Below are 21,595 nucleotides of genomic sequence, written 5' to 3' on the forward strand. Positions count from 1 at the left end.
AGACAAAGCATGAGGAAACACCTAAGCTGCCAGCTGTTTTCAGCCAACCGTGCAAACAGATCTACAGCTATAGGAGGAGGAGCTTCAGGTACCTCCTGCTTAAAGTGCTCATTGAATGACTTAAAGACTTGGAACTGCTGCTGGGCAAGAAGGATTCAGGTTTTTTTTTATGTATATAATATAGACATAGACTCTTGAGTCTATTTCTTGGCTGCTGGCTTGTACCCTCAGTGGTGCTTTTAAACCTGTAGTCCATACGAGCCAATTTGGCTCCAAGGTGGTAAGATTCACAGGATTGCAAATGTTAGTTTTACAATCTGGTTCTGAAGGTATTTTGGTAAGCATGATTAGCCCTAGTGATTGTTGGTTAGTAGGCCATGTTGCAAAGCCCCAGCAAGTTGTTACCAGGGAACCGGTGGAGCAAGCAGGGGATGCACACTTACTTTTATGGCAGCTATTATAGTACTCCATGGAACTGTGGATTACGGGAAAGAGTGAGTCTATGGATGTTATCTGGCAAATATCAAAATACAAAGATGTGACTCCCTTGTGGGAGAGAGAAACTTCGGTCTTGTTTAAAAGACTTCCTTCCCTTGACCCAGTGCGAATCTCAAACCAGGCCCAGGTAAAAGCTTAGGGTCATAGTATACATAAAGCTAGCTATCCCCTGGGTCACAAACTGAATAGTTCGTTTGGTTGTACATACAAGTCCCCAGAGGGGTTCCTGTGCGTTCATAGTATGTATGGTACAATAAAGTCTTAACTAGTGTATTACCTATCCACGTAGTACACATGCAATGTGGACATTCCTCTATAGGCTCTTCCTCTCCTAGGACAGATATGGGGATCGACAGAAACAAGGCAAGGTGTAGCATTCTTACACCTAGCATGGGCAGGGTGGAGGAGATTTGTTGAAGCAATAGCACAGCAGTAATATAATTAATAATACAAATAAGATTACTGGACCTAAGATCTCTGGCCACATTTACTCATCTGATGATGACGACTCAAGCTTTCTGCCATGCGTAAACTAGTCAGCTTCCAGAGTGACTAGAGCAGAGCTTGCTGTTTTCTCAAGCTTCCACCATGCATAGACTGGTCAGCTTCCGAAGTAAGCAGAGCCGGGCTGTTGTCCTCTCCGCTGGGAACCCAGTCTCGTCGCAGGGTCAGCTGGGTCGGATGGTCTGGGTCCTGCTAGCTGGTCCTCTGGTCCTGGGCTGCCGGTTTCAGCCAGTCGTGGTGGATCCAAGGCACGATTTCTGAACTTTAACAGCAGTGGGAGTGGACAAAATTACAACATGGGGCCCATCACATATGGGTCCCAGAGTTATGATTCCATTTCTTAACCCCAACGAGGTCCCCAGGTTTGAAAGGGTGTACTGGGTCTGTCAGACCAATGGGCATTCTTTCTTGCACCCAGCCATGCACTTTCTGCATAGCTAGCCCTAAAGCCTGCATTTGCTTCCTTAGAGTTCTCCTAACTCACAGAGATCACCTTTAATTTGACCTGTGATTGGGGGTGGCCGGCCGAATAAAATCTCATAGGGTGAACACCCGGTTTGTTTTGTGCGGGTGCACCCGACTTGGAGGAGGACCACGGGTAAGACCTGATCCCACCTCAGGTGAGTTTCCTCACAAAATTTCTTCAGTAGCTGTTTTAGTGTCCAGTTCATGTGCTCCACTTTACCTGAGCTCTGCAGCCTACAGGCTGTATATAATTTCCATTTTATTCCTAATAGTCGAGTTAAGTCCTGCACTACTTCAGCCACAAATGCCAGTCCATTGTCTAACCCCAGAGTCAGGGGTAGTCCAAATCTGGGAATAACGTCTCTTAACAATACCTTGGTCGCCTCTCATGCCTTCTTTGTCTGGGTGGAGAAGGCCTCGACCCATCCTGAAAAGGTGCAGACAAGCACCAACATGTACTGATAGCCCCCTGCTCAGGACAGTTTGGTGAAGCCCATAAGCAGGTTTTCACAGGGATGGCTCTTGTTTCCTGAATTCCTGGGGGGTCAAGTGGGCCCTTGTCGAGGGTTGTTATGAGCACAAGTTAAACACCGTTCACAAACTGCTCAAGTGATAGCCGTAAGCTGGGACACATAGAAGTGACAACCTAATAATGTCTCTAGTGCCGTTTTTCCCATGTGAGTCCCTTGGTGGAACTGCTTTACAAATCTGGGGGCCACCATTTCAGTTATGGCTAGCCTCCCATTGGAGAATTTCCACCATCCTCCTTCAACGTAGCTCCCATTTTCTTGGGCAAAAAAAGCCCTTTCATTTGGAGTGTAGCTTGGGGTCTCTGGGAGGGGAATTTCTGGAAGGAGAGGCATAGCCAAGGCTTCCTCTTTAGAAGGCAGAGTCACCACTGCAGTCTGCTTTGCCTCTTGTCTGCCTTTCTGTTTCCTTTCACCTCTGATGTTCCTGCCCTCAGGTGCCCCCTACAGTGCATTACAGCCACCTGCTTCGGGGCCCACACAGCATCTAAGGGCTGTAGAATTTCTTCCTTGTACTTTCTTTCTTTCCCTCCATCAGTCAAGAGTCCTCTTTCTTTGTAAATAGCCCCATGAACATTCAAAATGGCAAAAGCATATTTAGAGTTTGTGTGAATATTGGTCTTTTGGTCTTTTGCTAGCCAATGAGCCCTTGTCAGAGCTATTAGCTCTGCTTTCTGAGCAGAAGTTCCTGTAGGCAAAGACTATGCCTCTGCTACTGAGTCCAAAGTCACTACTGCATACCCTGCTCGGCGGGCCCCTCTAGGATGAAGCTGCTCCCATCAGTGAAATATTCAATGTCCGGGTCCCCGAGGGGCCGATCTGTCAAATCTCTCTGGCTTGAGAACACTTCATCTGCTACGTCCACACAGCAATGAAGGGGGCAAGGTAGCCAGGTTTAGGGTATTTACAGTCTCTAAAGTTATGCAGGGATTTTCACATAAGAGCTCTTGATATCAAATCATTCTCGGATTTTATAACCATTGGTGCCCCCTTTTGTCCATTAAAGTTATAACCGAGTATGGTACCTGGATTATCAGTTGCCGTCCCAAAGTCAGTTTATTAGCTTCCTGTGCCAGTGAAGCAGTAGCAGCTAATGCCTTAAACAAGGGTCCATGCAAGTGCCACAGTATCTAATTGCCTGGATAAATATGCCACCGGGTGGTGCCATGACCCTATGACTTGAGTTAGGACCCCTATGACCATTCCTTTTCACTCATGGGCATATAAAAAGAAAAGCTTAGTTAGATCTGGCAACCCTAAAGCTGGAGCTTCAGTCAAGTCTCCTTTGATTTATTAAAAGGCCTTTTCCTGGGTGGCCTCCCAGAGGAGGGGCTCCTTCTTTCCCCTCTTTGTGGCTTCATACAATGGCTTACCCATGAGTGAGAAACATGGGATCCAGATGTGGCAGAACCCAGCTGCCTTTAGTAACTCTCTCATTTGTCACCAGGTGGTTGGAGTGGGAAGCACACAAAAGCCTGCTTTCATTCACTACCAAGCAATCTTTTCCCTTCGCTTATATAGAAGCCTAAATACTGGACACTTTCAGAGCAGATTTGATCCTTTTTCCCTGACACTTTATATCCTGCCTTTATATCCTGCCTTCCATAACAGGTGCAGGAGGTCTTGGGTCTCCTGAAAGCAGTCCTTCCAGGTTGGGGCTGCTAGAAGAAGATCATCAATGTACTAGAGCAAGACACAGTCACTGCTTGGTGGGGTGTAGGCTTTAAGGTCTGAGGCCAGTGCCTCTTCAAAGATTGTGGGAGAGTCTTAAATCCCTGTGGCAGTCTTGTTCAAGTATACTGTGATTCACCCCATTGCAAAGCAAAAACAGGCTGACTAATCGGTGCCAGCTGGAGACAGAAAAATGTGTCCTTCAAATCTAGGACTGTAAACCAAGTGGCACTCACTGGAATATGTCCCATTAAAGTATACAGGTTTGGCAGCACTGGGTGGATGGTCACCGTGGCCTGGTTTACTGCACACAAGTCCTGCACTGGCCTATATTCTCCAGACGGCTTCCACACTGGCAAGAGAGGGGTGTTCCATAGTGACTGGCATTTGACTATGGTTCCTCACCTGTGAAGTCAATCTAAGTGTTTGTGGACTCCCGTATGGCCTCAGGGAGAAGCGGGTACTGACGGACATGAACCAGAGTCGCTCCCAGTTTTAACTCCACTACAATTGGTGCCGGATTTACTGCCAGTTCCGGCAGGTTACTTTCAGCCCAAACTCCAGTAATTTTAGTAAGTAACCCACGCATTTAATTTACTCCTGGTTCTGGAGTCTTTCCTGCATATAGTCTCCATTCCTCAGCCCGTGGGACAGTAAGGGTTAACACCATAGCCTCTGAGTGAGCTAGATTTAAAGTTACATCCCCTTGTGGCCCAAATGTAATCTGTGCCTGCAGTTTTTGAAATGGGTCTCTTTCCAGCGAAGGAACTGGACAATTTGGGAGGTACAGGAATTCTTGTTGGACTCCTTGTCCTCCTATAACACGCCTCTTTGACTGACAGAAAGGCCTCTTCTCTGAGACTCCAGTGGCTCCTGCAATAGTTGCACAGTTCTTGGATAGCGGCCCTATAGGTCGGGTCACTGCTGAGTGCTCAGCCCCAGTATCTACCATAAAGTCCACTAGTTGGCCTCCACTTCTAATCTGAACATAGGCTCTTGGGTGCCCAAAGAGAAAGAGCCCGGTCTGTCCTAGTCCTCATATCCTTCAGCCCTGGCCAGTCCGATTAGGTCAGTGTCTGGTTCCTCCCAGGTGCGGCAGCCCCCTGCTGGTGGCCTTCCCATACCACAGCCCTGACCATTCTCCTTGTTATTCTCTGGACACTCATTCTTCCAGTGTCCTTTCCTTTTGCACTGCACACATTGATCTCTTTCTAGTCTCAGCTGACTCTCAAATCCCCATCCAGTCCGGCCTCTTCCATGCCCTCATCCATACCCGCATCCCCTTGCAAAACCAGCTTCCCTTCCCGTAAGGGCAGCTGCCAGTAAATCAGCCTTCTTCTTAAGCCTTCAATCAGCCTCCCTCTTTGCCTCCTGATCATTGTTAATGTACACCTTGGTGGCTACCTCAATAAGCTGAGTAGCATTCATACCCGCGAAACCTTCCATCTTCTGCAAATTTTGCCTGATATCACCCTGGGCCTGACCTACAAATGACATATTTACCACATGCTGATTCTCAGTAGTCTCAGGGTTGAACAGGGTGTACAGCCGATAAGCCTCACAAAGTCTCTAATACAACTGGCTTGGGCTCTCAACTGCTCCCTGGAGCACCTCCGAGATTTTTCCTATATTAACTGCTTTTCTCCCACCATCCTTCAGCCCATGAAAGATTGCCTCTCAGTACCGCTGCAGGTGCTGCAACTGGGTTGCATCATTTGGGTCCCAATTGGGGTTTGTTTCAGGGAACTGACCCGTGCATATGCCTGGGCATTAACTGTGTCTGCAGGTGCATTAGTTTTAGCCACCGGAGGGCTGCCTGTGTCACCCTCTGCCATTCCTCCATATTAAACAGGGTCAAATATGCATATGTCTGGGCATTAACTGTGTCTGCAGGTGCATTAGTTTTAGCCACTGGAGGGCTGCCTGTGTCACTCTCTGCCATTCCTCCATATTAAACAGGGTCAAAAGAAGCTGTTTTCAATCTGGTCACGTTGGATTGTGTGTCTGAAAAACGGACTGCATCAAGTCAACGAGAGCCTGTGGCTTCTCCATGTAAGAGGGAATATGATGCTTCCACTTTAGGAGGTCAGTGGTTGAAAAGGGCTGGTAAACGAAAGTTCACTCTCCCCTCTGGATGTGGCCATGCTGGTCATAATAGACAGGTCCCCTCGTCTCCCTGAGACGCATTTGCAGGACTCAGGTGCGGCCAGACCTGAGATGGCCTGCCTGACTTTCTGGGCTTTCCACTCTAACTTCCTGCAGCTCCAATTCCTCCTTCTTAGTTGAGGCTGGGGGAGTATACTCTCCCGGATTTAACTCCCCATGGACAGCTGGGGCTGCTGGCCTCACAGCTGAACTTGCAGAGGGAGCAGTTGGTCTCGGCAAAGGGGGGTGGCTTGGAACATGAGGAGGAGGAGGAAATTCTGTTTCCTCCTGAGGTGCCCGCAGAACTGGTTTATCTCGGCTTTCCTGTGACTTTCCCTTTTTCTCTGCAGCTGCCAGCATGGCTGATTTTACTTTCATTTTGTCTTCGGCTGCTCGGGCCACAGGCGTCTTACAATATGCTGCTGGGGGGTGCAACCACGCTGGTCAGTTTTGTATAACATTGAGCCATGAATCGATATAGGGAAATTGATCTGGGTACCCTGGCTGTCCTCCCACCCCGGTCACCACCTTAAACACCCGGCCAATCACCTCCCTATCTATATAGCACCCTCGGCCGGCAGCCGACCCCTAAAGAAGGCCATTCTGATTCACAGAGAGTTTTCAACTTCAGGGGGTCAGCTTAATTCCATAATCCGCTGCAAAACCTTTCTTAAAATTCTTTAGTATACATTCCAGTGGAGTGGGTTTCCACGATTTTCCTCCCATTTCCTCCCTCTACGACGCACACTCACTCTGACTTCCTTTTTTACCGAGCAGAGCGTCTCCTATTACAGGAGTTTTCGGGGCCGCCTGGCTAGGAGAGTCCCCTATTCCCAGCACGGCCGCTGCTGCCACGGGGCAGCTCCTACCAGCCGCTTCGCCGCTATCCCAGGTCGGCCCCAGGCTTCGCTGGGAGCGCCCAGTCCACGCTGAGATCTGCGCCTCCCACGTCACTCCCCGCACCGGCCCCTCCTGCAGCCGTCTCTTGCACGCCCTTTCACCCACTTCCCCTCCCCAGTTCCCTTTCCTAACCGGCCTGGCGGGCCTCTCTCCTGTGCCGCGTCGGTTGCGGCGTCTGCGGTACCCGAGTGAGCGACCCCCTCTCGCCGCCGCAGCCTCCCTGGGTCGGACTAGACGCACAGCCCGGCAGGTGATGGGGCTCCCCTCCGTCCTCGTGGGACGGGTCCTGCCTTGGGCCCCAAAAGCCGACCGCGGTTCATTAGCGCTGCTTCTGGGATCATCCCGCAGCCCTTTCCGCGCTCCTTTGCGCTGTCAGGGGAGGGGCCCCGGGGGCCTGGAGAGCCGGTCTCCCCTCCGGGCTGAAGTGCTCCCCGAGGCCGCCCTGGGGTCACAGATCGCCGCGACCAGAGCCCCAGACCCTCCGGCAAAGGAGACAGCCAATCTGTCCTCTCTTCTCCTCCTGGCTGCTGGCTCGCAAGAAAGGTTGCGGAACATCAGGAGGGCAAGGGACACCTCGGGGCATAGCAGGAGGGTCTTCACTGAGTGCACTCTGTCCCAAGGGACTCAACGTCCAAACAACTGGGCCCCGAACAAAGACAAGGTTTTGCTTATACACCTCCTCCTAAGTGGCACGAACGCGCACGTACAGAGGCAAGACAGAGGCCGTTAATCAAACAAAGCCAGGCTTGTAACTCAGGGTTAGCAATACTCCTTCCCATGCAGCCCAGATGGTCATTACCTGCTTAGTTCAAAGGAGTCTCACAAAGACTCATCCTGCCACCCCCACCATGGCATGTAGCTGGCTACAAGCCAGACCTGCTCAGGCTGTACTGCTTAGATGCAGAAGCAGGAACCTGCAATCATTAACTACAGGAAAAACAGAAACTCCTAAAACGTACAGAGCAAGAGGCAAGGTATAGTTTACATAGCAGAGGGGATGAGATTCGACAGGGAAGTTCACTTACACTAAAGGAGAGATAGGAAAACTTACCTCTTTTCATCCTTATGCTGAGGGAGTGCTGGGAGAGTCTTCAGAGCCCATTCCTCTGAGCTCCGGCCCTTAGATAACATCATTGAAACTTTGCGTGTTACTGCCTTTGACGTGAGTCAGCCTAACACAGGCAGCTTGTTTCTTTCTCTTTTTTGATTTATATTTTCTTTCTTTAATTTTTTCTTTTTTCTCGTGTCAACATTAGGTTGACAACTTGTGCTCTTTCCGGCTTTTTCACGTAGGCAGTAGTCACTATAAACTTTCCTCTTACCACTGCTTTTGCTGTATTCTTAAGGTTTCAATAACTTGTTACCATTTAATTAAGGTAATTTTTAAATTTTCATCTTATGCCATTGTTAACCCAGATATTACTCAGGAGCAGATTTCTTAATTTCTATGTATTTGTTCAGTTGTAAGGGTTTCTTTGAGAGTTCATTTTTAGTTTTATTCTCCTGTGGTCTGAGAAGATACTTGATATGATTTCACTGTTTTAAAAATTCATTGAGACTTGTTTTGTGACCTATTATATGTTCTATCTTGTAGAATGTTGCATGTACTGATTACAAGAATGTTTATTCTGCAGATCTTGGACAGAATGTTCTGTACACATCTGCTACATCCATTTGTTTCAGTGAGTTATTTAAGTGCATTTTTTCTCTGTTGACTTTCAGTCTCGAAGATCTGTCTAGTGCTGTTATGATTGTATTAAAGTCTCCCACTCTGATTGTTTCGCTCTCATTTTTTTAAATCTCTAATAGTACTTGTTTTATGAATCTAGTTCCTCTGGTGTTTGGTGCCTATAAATTTAGAATTGTAGTATTTTCTTATTGAATTGATCCTTTTGTAATTGTATAGTGATCATCTATGTCTTTTTTTTACTGTTGTTGCTTTGAAGTCCATTTTGTCTGATATCAAAATAGCTACTCCTGCTCACTCTTGGTTTCCATTTTTGTGAAATACCTTCTTCCAACCTTTTACCTTGAGTTTATGTAAATCTTTGTGTGTTAGGGGGATCTTTTAGAGACATCAGATATTTCCATTGTGATTTTTTAATCTATTCTGCCATTGTGTATCTTTTATATGGAGCATTTAGGCCATTTACATTCAATGTGAATATTTAGATATGAGTTACTGTTTTCTTTGCCATGTTAATTCTTACCTAGTTTTTTTTTTTCACTGTGTTATTGTTTTATAGGCCTGTGAGTTTCAGGCTCTTAAGAGGTTCCCTTTATGTGCTTACTGGGCTTTTGTTTCAAGGTTTGCAACTCCTTTTAGCATTTCTTGTACTGCTGGTTTGGTAGTGACGAATTCCCTGAGCACTGGTGATTCTGAAAATGACTTTACTTCTTTTTCATTTATCAAACAGTTTGGCAGGATACAAAATTCTTGATTGAAAGTTGTTCTATTTAAGGAATTTGAAGATAGAAGCTTAATCCATCTGGCTGGTGAAGTTTCTGCTGAGAAGTCTGCCATTAGTCTGATGGGTTTTTTGTTTTGTTTTGTATTGCTGCTCTTAGAATTATTTCCTTCATGTTAACTTTCGGTAGCCTGATGACTATAAGCTTGGTGAAGGCAGTTTTGCAATACATTTCCCAGGAGTTCTTTGAACTTCTTGGATTTGGATATCTAGGTCTCTAGGCAGGCCAGGAATGTATTTCTCAATTTTTCTCTCAAATAAGTTTTCCAAACATATTATTTTTTTTCTTCTTCAGGAACACCAATTATGCTGAGGTTTGGTCATTTTACATAATCCCATATTTCCTGGAGACTGTGTTTACTTCTTTTGGTTCTTTCTAAATTTATTTTTCTCTGATTTGATTATTTCAAAAATAGTCTTTTTTATTTCTTCTTTTTTCTTATTTCTACTTTATTCTTCTTCTTTTTTCATCTAATTTTTTACTTCAACTTTTTATTTTGTACTTTTTCTAGTCTCTTGTTTATTTTTTCTTCTACTTTTTTCTAGTCTATTTTTAAAACTTTCCATGGCATTTTGTAATTCCCTTACTATTTCCCTGCATTTTGTCTTTTATTTTCAGAAGTTCTGATTGGTTTCTCTTTATGATATCTATCTCTCTATAAAAATTTGTATTTATATTCTGAACTGCTTTTATACATTTGTTTATGATGATATTCACCTTCTTATTATATCTTCTTGAGTAGCTTAATAATCAACATTCTGAATTTCTTATCTGGTATTTTAAAGACTTCATTTTGGTTAAAGTTTATTGCTGGAGACCTAGTGTGACCTTTTTGGGATGTTATAGCACCCTGTTTTGTCATATTACTTGAGTTATTTTTCTCATTTCCTCTTATTTTGGTAGACTATTTCTTCTAACTAGTATTGAAATTATGTTTGTTTTAACTGTTTCTTTTGTTTGTTTTTAAATTTATTTTTTCCCTTAAGAATGAGACTTTAATGGTTATAATTAATTACAGTCTAATTTGGTTTTTGGTCCTTAGAGGGGTGAAGACTCTGTAAGAGTTCCGTGGTTATGGAGAATCTTTGTATGATGGCTTTCCTATGTGTTGATTGCAGTAGAAATCTGCTCAGTATGTGAGCAAGTTCACTGTCTTCTATGGGGTTAGAATGGTTGAGGTCTATTAAACCTTAGTTCATTCCTCTGTGGCATGCACGTATTTATTTATTTTCCCCCAGTGATTTATTTGCTAGTTTGATGGTTCAGGCTTCAGACCAGTAGGGGGCTTGTCCCTGGATAGAAACCAGCTGTGGCTAAATCAGGTGGTAAATGAAGTCCCAGCCTTGACAGAGTTGGCTGGAGGAGCTTTTAGTGAGTCACACTGAGGTCTTATCTGGGGGAAGGGTTGGAGCCACCTCAGCTGTCTTGCCAGGTCTGTAGGAAAGTTATGCACCTCTAAGACACTCCCGTATCCCAGGATTCCAGCTATTCAGATCAGACAGGCATGTCTTTTCCTCTGTACAAAAGTTGAAGTGTTAAATACAGAGGAATTGTGACTCTGTGTCTGGCCAAAACCTGAACCTGGAGAGTGCTCTTTCTGGGGGATGCAGTCAACATGATGTGTTCCAGAAATGCTGTCTATAGTTGCACCCGTACTGAGCTCTTATGGGAGAGACCCCAAGTGTGCCTGCAGTGGTGTACAAGGGGGAAAGACTTCCTCTTCTTCAAGTTTTTCACATGCACCAGGGATATCTGACTGTTGAGACAGAGCTGAAGACTTTCTCTGCTGAGCTCAGCACTGTAACTGCCTCTACTAAAAGAAGTTTCCCACCAATGGAGGGATCTGATTGATGTTCAAGGCCTGCCATCCAGATTCTCCTGTCCCACAGGGTGTTCCCTCAATGTGGTGCACTCCCTTCCCCTAGGAGCAGGAGAACCTGGGAGCCATACTACTGTGAGTGTTGTTGCTTCTCTAGGTCTAGCCGCCCAGTGAAGTTGACACACTTCAGGCTGGTGTTGGGGAATGTATGTGAGGGATCCGGTGGTGTGATGTGTCCTCAATTTTTCAGCAGTGAGCAGTGAACCAGGTCTGATGGAAGCAGCAGGGGAGTGATGGAGACTGAAATTCCTTAGATATTGATAGCCTTTGTGTACTGGCTTTCTTGAATGCTGGTTATAGCGGTAATGAACTGTTCACATGGACAGACTCAGGACCTCCTGGTCATCCAGAGTGGTGCAGGCACTGGTCATAGCTGAGATCACACAGTCATTTTCTCCTTTCTGGGTGCAGTGATAGTCTACCAGGAGATACTGTGATGGACTGTTTATTGGCTTCCTGCTTGGAGATGGTGCTTTCCAAAGAGCACCAGCTACAGTATTAACAGTGGGGTTTTTGCTTGGCTTATGTTGCCCAGGAATAGGGGCTACTGTGGATTCTCAGGCAGTGGGTGTGGCCATGTATCTCCCAAAAGATGCTGTCCTTTGTGTTAAGCTGCCAGGGCAGATGGCTGCATAAAGCAAGGTGAGGGCTGGGCCAGGTAGGTTTCTGCTCAGAGTATCCTTGTGCAGGGCAAGCAGCAGCCTCTCTGGGTATGGGAGACACAGATAATGGTGAATTCTATTCTTAATCTGCTGTTTAATTTTGTTTGTCATCTCATCACTCTTGAGAGTTTTTGAAACTATGATAATCAGGGATATTGGCCTGTAGTTTTATTTACTTGTAGTGTCTTTTCCTTGCTTTGGAAATAGGGCCTTCCAAAATAAGCTTGGATATATTTCTTTCTCTTTATTTTGTTGGAAATTTGAGTAGAGATTCTAGGTTTTTTTTAATTTTTGATAAAATTCAGTAGTGAAGCCATGAAGTTCTGGACTTTGATTCGAGATGTTGGAAAAATCACTGACTCGATCTCTTTACTCATTGGTCTGTTCAGATTTTTTTTAATTGGAGTCTCACTCTGTTGCTCAGTCTGGAGTGCAGTGGCTCGATTTTGGCTTTCTGCAACCTCTGCCTCCCAGGTTCAAGTCATTCTCCTACCTCAGCCTCCCGAGTAGCCGGGACTATGGGACTGCGGGTGAACACCACCACACCCAGCTAATCTGTGTATTTTTAGTAGAGACGGGGTTTTGCCATGTTGGCCAGGCTGATCTTGAACTCCTGACCTGAGGTGATCCACCCGCATCGGTCTCCCAAAGTGCTGAGAATACACATATGAGCAACCACGCCCAGCCCAGATTTTTTATTTCTTGGTGGTTCAGTTTTGATAGGTTGTATGTCTTTAAAAATTTGTCTATTTATTTTAATTTATTCTTAACCAAACAGGTTCTAAAATATTTGCAAGATTACTCACAGGAAATCTATTTATGACAGAAGTCTTTGTTATATCAAAATATTTACGAATTGGCACAAAGATGAATTATTCAGTGCATATTGTTAAAAGGAAAACAACAACAAAAACAAGATAACTTATTAATGGTACAAAAAGGGGTTAAATGATTTTGGAAAAGTAAGTAGAAAATAAAAGAAGGAGGGAGTAAGAGCGGACAGAAGGGAGGAAGGCAAGCAAGCAATGATGAACTGTGTAAAATTTTCACTAATTAAAAGACTATTATATTGAAGAGGTGCCTATTAGGCAGCCTTTTGATGTTAACCATGTAATATACACCATGAACAACCTTGTAGAACACACAAGAGCCCCCTCAGAGAACTGGATGGGTCAGGTCTCCCATCCAGTTGCCTTAGGGGTTAGGAACGCTCCCATGTTGTTCTCTGGTTTTTGCTCCTGAGGACACAAACAGCCAGTGTTTCCTCCCCGGATGAATAGAGAGGCCCCTGGGGAGGGTGTGTCTGGCAGCTCACTCTGCACCTGCACCGCGGAAGGTTTTAGATGGTCCCTCTCACACAATAATACATGGCGGCGTCCGAGGCCTTCAGGCTGCTCCACTGCAGGTAGGCGGTGCTGCTGGAGCTGTCGGCTGAGATGGTGACGTGGCCTTGGAAGGATGGGCTGTATCTGGTATCAGAGTTCCCAGGATAGATGCTCCCCATCCACTCCAGTTCTTTCCCGGGCATCTGGCGCACCCAGTGGATCCAGTAGCTGGTAAAGCTGTATCCAGAAGTCTTACAGGAGATCCTCAGAGACTCCCCGGGTCTTTTCACCTCTGCTGCAGACTGCAACAGCTGCACCTCGGCAAAGACACCTGTGTGGGAGACACAAAATTTGCATCAGGGGCTCCCTTCTGCCCATTCTTCTCTGTGACCTCAAACCCTGGGCAGGACTGACCTTGGAGAACAGCCAGGACGAGGGAAAGGATGACGGTTGACCCCATCCTGGAGGAGGACAGAAAAGAAAGCACTGAGATCCCAGCTGGGTGGTGAAGGAGACTCACTGTGGAGGAGAGCCCTGGGTTTAAGTGGGGAGGCCCCCACTTGAATTTGCATAGTTGCCGCCCTGGCCTGAAGGGAAGAGTCTACAAGGTTTATAACCCAGAACCGCAACTGCAGAAAAACGGCTGAACTGAGCCTCTTGGGAGAGGCAGAATAAGGTCTTAATAATGTCTTACAACCCCCTGTTGTCCCTCCGCACTCTTGTCCATGGTCCTACAAGACCCAAACCAGGGCCTCCCTTCTTCCTACCCTTCTCTGTGACCCTGTGAAGGTGATAAATCTAGATGAAATCACGTGTGTTTTAAAAAATGAGAAATAGAACCAGGAAATGCTATGAAGACAAAATTCAAATGCACATATGCCTGATAATAAGAACTACAAAAAAAAAAAAAACACCTAGTTTCTACTTGCTGGCAATTTCCCATGAGTGCCATTATGGTCTGGGCACCCAGCAAAGGCAGGACCACCCTAGGGCTTCAACAGTCCTCAACTTGATTAACTTGCCAGACCTTCACCCATGCCAAATCACACATTTTTTCTGGTCATTTTGTCTTCTACATTTCTACAGTCTGCCAATTCAACATAAATAGGGAATATTTGTTTAGGTCTCTGAATTGCTGATGGAACTGAAGGGATTGCCATTGCTGCACCCAACTCCTGGTAGTTCTGTTTTAAGTCCTTTGTGTCAACCCCAGCACCTTCTTGTTTAGTTCTTTCATTTTTTAACATTCATTTTATGATATCCACATTGCTTGGAGGAGGCCCTTAACTATCCCCTGTGTCTGCCCCATTATCTTGTGAACCACTCTCATTTCCTTATCATCTAAAAGATTCAAATGAAAAGACAAGGCAATACAAACTACACAGTTTCTAAAATATTTGCCAGATTGCTCACAGGAGTTGTACCTGGGGTGCAGAAGCAAAAGGACTTCTCTTTATCACAGCACAGGCCATGACCTAGGTAAGGTGCATGCGAAGCAATGTCCAGCAGCATCAACAGAAACACACAGCAGCAGGACCTGGATAAGATGCATGCTAAGCAATGACCGTCGGTATCAACATAAACACATAGCACTATGGCTTCCATATACAGCATTGGGCTCCTCATCTGGAGAGCCCACTTTGCATTTTAAAGAGAGAAAGGGCAGTCTCATTCTCAGGGTAGAGAAACTTTACATGATCGGGATCCAGTGCTTGAGGAAAGCTGTCCCATCAGAAGCATCCTACTTGAGGTTGGGATCAGCTAGAGCCATCTGTGATGTGTCTATTGTGAGCTGTGGGTCCAGCATCTTCCCAAACATGCTCCTCCCTTATGCAACACATGAAGCCAAAGAGAATCTGCTACATCAGTCAGTCTCCTAGTCCATTGGCTAATGTTGTTCACGATCTGATGATATCTATTAATGATATCATTCATATCACAAAATGATGCCACTTTCCACACTATCCTCCCTGTTCTAGTTGTCAAGTGGATTCCCCTCCCCAGTCCAAACCCTGGGCTACCATCTGTGTAGCTCTTGTGTGTTGTGTGTTGTTTCTGGACAACTGTACCCTTTGGCAGTGAATGGGAGTCTAGCAGCCTTGGCTCACAGGGCACACTGCAGGGCTGGATGTGCATCTTTTTACTATTATTTTAGCTATCACAGATATGAGTTGCATACTCAGGTTGTTCTTCATTATTTTTACTTGTTCTTGTTCAGGGAACAACTCCTAGGGAGCTGTGTCCGTCGTTTCTAAATTCCATGGATTACTTTCACTTCCTGCTCCTTATTGGAGTGCACACATCATCTCATGCCATGTGATTCTATAGCCATCCAGGCACTGAATGTCTTTTATCCTACACTTTCTCATCCTTTGATATTATAAATGCTATAGACATGTGTCAGTAGTCAGGGTCTTTCTAGCAATTTACACCTCTGATGTAATTGTGTTGAGTGTCCCAAGACCATCCTCAGGCCCCATAATCAGTACAAATAAAGGACTCAAGACAAGCTGTTATTCTCGTGGGTGCAGCTTTATTATAGCAAATGAATATGAATTAAAATGAGCAAAGGAACCAGTGGGAAGGCCCTGAGAATCCAGGCACAAGCTCCCAGGTGTTCTTTCCCTGAGAAGTCTCTTGTCCCCAGTTCTCCCAGCAGTGATGCATGACAATACGTGTGAAGCATTGTCCACCAGGGAAGCTCACCTGAGTGCTGGTGCCCAGTGCTGTTTATTGGGGCCCATCACAGATGTGTGTGGCACCTGCATAACTGACCTCCAGTGCTCAGACGCTGGCCCCTTCAGCAATAATAGGCATTCCCCATAAGTCATTATGGAAACAGCTAGCATAGTGTGCACCCAGGCTACACACACAGAGACAGAGACACACAAGCAAAAATACATTTCAACTAATAATAATAATCATAATACTAAGAATAAAAAGAATAAAGAGGAATGTTTTGGAAGTCATTGCTATGTTTATGACCTTGATGGTGATGGTAACTTTGCATACTTAACTCAATGAATTAAGTATGTTAAATAACGTATAGTCTTATAGATGTAATCCTTACCTTAATAAAATGGTTTAAAAATATTTCCAGGAGGAGTATGCCAAAAAAGCAGATATCATCTCCCAGGAGCTGAATATGGATGTGGCTTGAGAAAGCACTTTTTCAGTAATCTTCAGGGTTTGCACAACACAAGCCTGCTCAGTAAACACTTTCCTGTACATAAGTCCAGGTGAGGTGGAAACAGGCTGTTGGAATAAAAAGCAAGATGCAGAAGAAAAGAGAGAGGAAGTGGTGGACAAGATATGAACCCACGTAGGGTCAGTGTGGATGGGAGGCACCACTGAGAGCCTGTGGATGGAGAAGGATGTGGACCAGGGACAGCAGGAAAACAAGGCAGGGAGGGTTCTTCCTGAGCCAAACCAGATGTTTCACGGAGGCTGTGATCAGGGGCCATGCACAGGCACAGGTGGGTGCCATGGAGTAGGGGAGCCACTGGGGTATAGACCCAGGACAGAGCATGAGAAATTCAGACATTCCCAAGGCAGCAGGCACAGAAATAATGACTGACAAGCCTCTATCTTGGGCTCCCATCCATATATCAAAGATAAAGTTAACTGATTTTTCCACCTGGGAAGAAATGACTGAATCTCTGAGTGAGGAAGGACATGAGTGGTGCAGCCAGGGGAAGCAATGCTGGACCTGCCAGCAACCCTCCTCCCCTCACACTGCCCTGCATGTCCTCCCATCCCCAAAGCATGGAGGTTCTCATCCTTGTCCAGTGGTGGGAGCCACAGTCAGCTCCTAGACCCCTCAGGGGGCTTCCTGACATGATCAGCTGGGTCTAACAAAAACAGGGCATTTACAATCAAGTTCTCCATCTACCTGTCACCAATGTGTTTATGAGGCTTTAGAGTAAATGAAATAAGTGAAAAAAGACTTTACAAGCAATAGAAAAATCAACAAACCTAAGAGTTTTTTCTTAAAAAAGGACAAATTCTTAGCTAGATTAAGAGAAAAAGAAAGAATCCTTTAATAACTAAAATCAAAAATAATTCAGAAAGCATAAGAATTGATAAAACTGAAATTTAGAAGCAATTAGAGATGATTCCTCTGACATTTTCAAAGTTGTCTCAATCCTTCAGGTAGTAATGGCATTTCTTGTCTCAGAACCCAAGAAGAGTCCTGAGACACACAATTACTTGTTTAAATTATCTTTATCACTCTCTGATAAAATACTCACACATAATAATCTAGCTGCATGAAGATAAAAAATAACTAGTTTGAAATTAGAACAAGTCCCAAGTAAATCAAAGTTAGCATGTGGTTCATAATGTAATAGACAGGAGACATGGCTGAATATGAAGAATGTGTTCACATCTATTTTGTGTCAAGATCAGGAAAATATTTTTTATATTATTTAGGTAAAAGCCCCATTGAGAGCACTGATTTAAGATTATATATTGGTGGGTAATACCTCAATAATAAAAGTAGAGGTTATTAACCTTTAATTTGTATTACTAGTACAAAGTTTCATTCAGGATATATCCTTCTATGTGTTATGAAATCAACTCAGAAGGCAGAAAACATTGCACTTATTAAAGCTTTTTAATAAATTAAAAATTATAATTAAGTATATATGTTTCTAGATGGTGTACAACTTAGGAATATTTTTAACAGAGAGGGTTCTTATGTCTTCTGCAGATCCTATCAAAATGGACAAGAGAAGAAACTCCCAGATGAATTTCTACCTACTAGAGAACTGATTAACATAATTTTTTGAGTTACTATTTTTTATTATACTTTAAGTTATGGGATACATGTGCAGAATGTACAGGTTTGTTACATAGGTATATATGTGCCATGGTGGTTTGCTGCACTCATCAACCCATCATCTACATTTGGTATTTCTCCTAATGCTATCCCTCCCCTAGCTTCCCCACCCCGTGACAGGCCCCTGTGTGTGATGTTCCCCTCCCTGTGTCCATGTGTTCTCATTGTTCAATTCCCACTTTTGAGTGAGAACATACAGTGTTTGATTTTCTGTTCTTGTGTTAGTTTGCTGAGAATGACGGTTTCCAGCTTTATCCATGTCCCTGAAAATGACATGAACTCATCCTTTTTATGGCTGCAGAGTATTCCATGGTGTATATTTTCCACATTTTCTTTATCCAGTCTATCACTGATGGGCATAAGGGTTGTTTCCAAGTCTTTGCAATTATGAACAGTGCTGCAATAAACATATGTGTTCATGTGTCACGTAAGACACAGTAGAATGATTTATAATCCTTTGCTGATATACCCAGTAATGGGATTGCTGGGTCAAATGGAATTTCTGGTTCTTGATGCTTGAGGAATCGCCACACTGTCTTCCACAATAGTTGAACCAATTTACACTCCCACCAACAGTGTAAAAGCGTTCCTATTTCTCCACATCCTTTCCAGCATCTGTTGTTTCCTGACTTTTTAATGATGGCCATTCTAACTGGTGTGAGATGGTATCTCATTGTGGTTTTGATTTGCATTCCTCTAATGACCAGTAAGGATGAGCTTTTTTTTTCATGTGTCTTCTTTTGAGAAGCAAGTGTTCATATGTTTCGCCCACTTTTTGATGGGATTGTTTGTCTTTTCCTTGTAAATTTAAGTTCTTTGTAGATTCTGGATATTAGCCCTTTTGTCAGATAGATAGATTGCACAAACATTCTCCCAGTCTGTAGGTTGCCTGTTCACTCTGATGGTAGTTTCTTTTGCTGTGCAGAAGCTCCTTAGTTTAATTAGATCCCATTTGTCAATTTTGGCTTTTGTTGCCATTGCCTTTGATGTTTTAGTCATGAAGTCTTTGCCCATGCCTATGTCCTGAATGGTACTGCCTAGGTTTTCTTCTAGGGTTTGTATGGTTTTAGGTCTTATGTTTAAGTCTTTAATCCATCTTGAGTTAATTTTTATATAAGGTCTAAGGAAGGGATCCAGTTTTAACTTTCTACATATGGCTAGCCAGTTTTCCCAGCACTGTTTATAAAATAGGGAATCCTTTCCCCATTGCTGTTTTTGTCAGGTTTTTCAAAGATCAGATGGTTGTAGCTGTGTGATGTTATTTCTGAGGCCTCTGTTCTGTTCTATTGGTCTATATGTCTGTTTTGGTACAAGTACCATGCTGTTTTGGTTACTGTAGCCTTGTAGTATAGTTTGAAGTCAGGTAGCGTGATGCCTCCAGTTTTGTTCTTTTTGCTCAGGATTGTCTTGGCTATACGGGATCTTTTTTGGTCCCATATGAAATTTAAGTAGCTTTTCCTAATTCTGTGAAGGAAGTCAATGGTAGCTTGATGGGAATAGCATTGAATCTATAAATTACTTTGGGCCGTATGGCCATTTGGCAATATTGATTCTTCCTATTCATGAGCATGGAATGTTTTTCCATTTGTTCATGTCCTCTCTTATTTTGTTGAGCAGTGGTTTGTAGTTCTCCTTGAAGGGGTTCTTCACATCCCTTGTAAGTTGTATTCCCAGGTATTTTATTCTCTTTGTAGCAATTTTGAATGGGAGTTCACTCATGATTTGGCTCTCTTTTTGTCTATTATTGGTGTATAGGAATGCTTGTGATTTTTGCACATTGACTTTATATCCTGGGACTTTGCTGAAGTTGCTTATCAGCTTAAGGAGTTTTTGGGCTGAGACGATGGGGTTTTCTAAATATAAAATCATGTCATCTGCAAACAGAGACAATATGACTTCCTCTTTTCCTATTTTGAGTACCCTTTATTTCTTTCTCTTGCCTGATTGCCCTGGCCAGAACTTCCAATACTATGTTGAATAGGAGTGGTGAGAGAGAGCACCCTTGTCTTGTGCCAGTTTTCAAAGGGAATGCTTCCAGCTTTTGCCTGTTCAGTATGATATTGGCTGTGGGTTTGTCATAAATAGCTCTTATTATTTTGAGATACTTTCCATCAATACCTGGTTTATTCAGAGGTTTTAGCATGAAGTGGTGTTGGATTTTATCAAAGGCCTTTTCTGCATCTATTGAGATAATCATGTGGTTTTTGTCATTGGTTCTGTTTACGTGATGGATTATGTTTATTGTTTTGCATATGTCAAACCACCCTTGTATCCCAGGGATGAAGCCGACTTGATCCTGTTGGATGAGCTTTTTGATGTGCTTCTGGGTTCGGTTTGCCAGTATTTTATTGAGGATTTTTGCATCGATGTTCTTCAGGGATATTGGCCTGAAATTTTCTTTTTTTGTTGTGTCTCTGACAGGTTTTGGTATCAGGGTGATGCTGGCCTCATAAAATGAGTTAGGGAGGAGTCCCTCTTTTTCTATTGTTAGGAATAGTTTCAGGAGGAATGGTACCAGCTCCTCTTTGTACCCCTGGTAGAATTCAGCTGTGAATCCACCTGGTAGTGGTCTTTTTTTAGTTGGCTATTATTAATTACTATTAATAATATTATTAGTAGGCTATTATTAATTACTGACTTAATTTCAGAACTTGTTATTCATCTATTCAGGGATTCTATTTCTTCCTGGTTTAGTCTTGGGAGGGTGTATGTGTCCAAAAATTTATCCATTTCTTCTAGATTTTCTAGTTTATATGCATAGAGGTGTTTATAGTATTCCCTGATGGTAGTTTGTATTTCAGTGGGATCAGTGGTGATGTCCTCTTTATCATTTTTTTATTGTGTCCATTTGATTCTTCTCTCATTTCTTCTTTATTAGTATGGCTAGCAGTCTATCTATTTTGTTAATCTTTTCAAAAAACTATCTCCTGGATTCATTGATTTTTGAAGGGTTTTTCCTGTCTCTATCTCCTTCAGTTCTGCTCTGATCTTCGTTATTTCTTGTCTTCTGCTAGTTTTTGAATTGGTTTGCTCTTGCTTCTCTAGTTCTATTAACTGTGATGTTAGGGTGTCGATTTCAGATCTTTCTTGCTTTCTCTCATGAGCATTTAGTCCTATAAGTTTCCCTCTAAACACTGCTTTAGCTGTGTCCGAGAGATTCTGGTATGTTGTGTCTTTGTTCTCATTGGTTTCAAAGAACTTGTTTATTTCTGCCTTAATTTCATTATTTACCCAGTAGTCATTCAGAAGCAGGTTGTTCAGTTTCCATGTAGTTGTGTGGTTTTGAATGAGTTTCTTAATTCTGAGTTCTAATTTGATCGCACTGTGGTCTGAGAGACTGTTTGTTATGATTTTCATTTAATCCAAATGCTAATGGAAGCTAAAAAAAGTGATTAAATACACCAAACGCTCTAGCTCAATCTAGTTTATAATATTATCTAACCATGGAGAGCATTATCATTGTTCATATAAGACAGAATGAATCCTACTCAACAATCTTCTAGGAATGTTTTAAAAATGGCATCTCTACATAAAAATGATCAAATCTTTAATAAAATGTAAAACTCCCTTGGCCAAAGGTTCTCCCACTAGCACTATGGAATCATGTTCCACTCCTCAGGGTGCATCAGTTATTACCCTATGACTTGGCAGCTAAAAGGCCCATACGTTTATAGAGTTTACCCCCAGAGATCATCTTTGTCCTATTGCAT

General features: G+C 43.6%; 1 long non-coding RNA gene, 1 other non-coding gene, 1 pseudogene and 1 further gene across 2 annotated transcripts in view; 1 reads left to right on the forward strand and 3 right to left on the reverse strand.

The window, feature by feature from the left end:
• IGH (immunoglobulin heavy locus) overlaps positions 1-21,595 on the reverse strand; it is a 1,293,408-nt gene that overhangs the window by 1,251,605 nt on the left and 20,208 nt on the right.
• Positions 7,770-21,595, forward strand: part of LOC124903399 (uncharacterized) — a 32,160-nt gene continuing 18,334 nt past the window's right edge. The window contains exon 1 of the long non-coding RNA XR_007064370.1: positions 7,770-7,872. This is a non-coding gene — a long non-coding RNA (uncharacterized LOC124903399). The remainder of the gene's footprint in view (positions 7,873-21,595) is intronic.
• Positions 12,844-12,958, reverse strand: MIR5195 (microRNA 5195). The gene has a single exon (NR_049827.1). It is a non-coding gene; the product is annotated as a microRNA 5195 (primary transcript).
• On the reverse strand, positions 13,071-13,505 carry IGHV5-78 (immunoglobulin heavy variable 5-78 (pseudogene); annotated as a pseudogene). Its single transcript is given in 2 exon segments — positions 13,071-13,376; positions 13,460-13,505. Coding segments are annotated over 2 exon segments (352 nt in total).

This window comes from Homo sapiens, chromosome 14 (genome assembly GCF_000001405.40).
Source record: "Homo sapiens chromosome 14, GRCh38.p14 Primary Assembly".
NCBI lineage: Eukaryota > Metazoa > Chordata > Mammalia > Primates > Hominidae > Homo > Homo sapiens.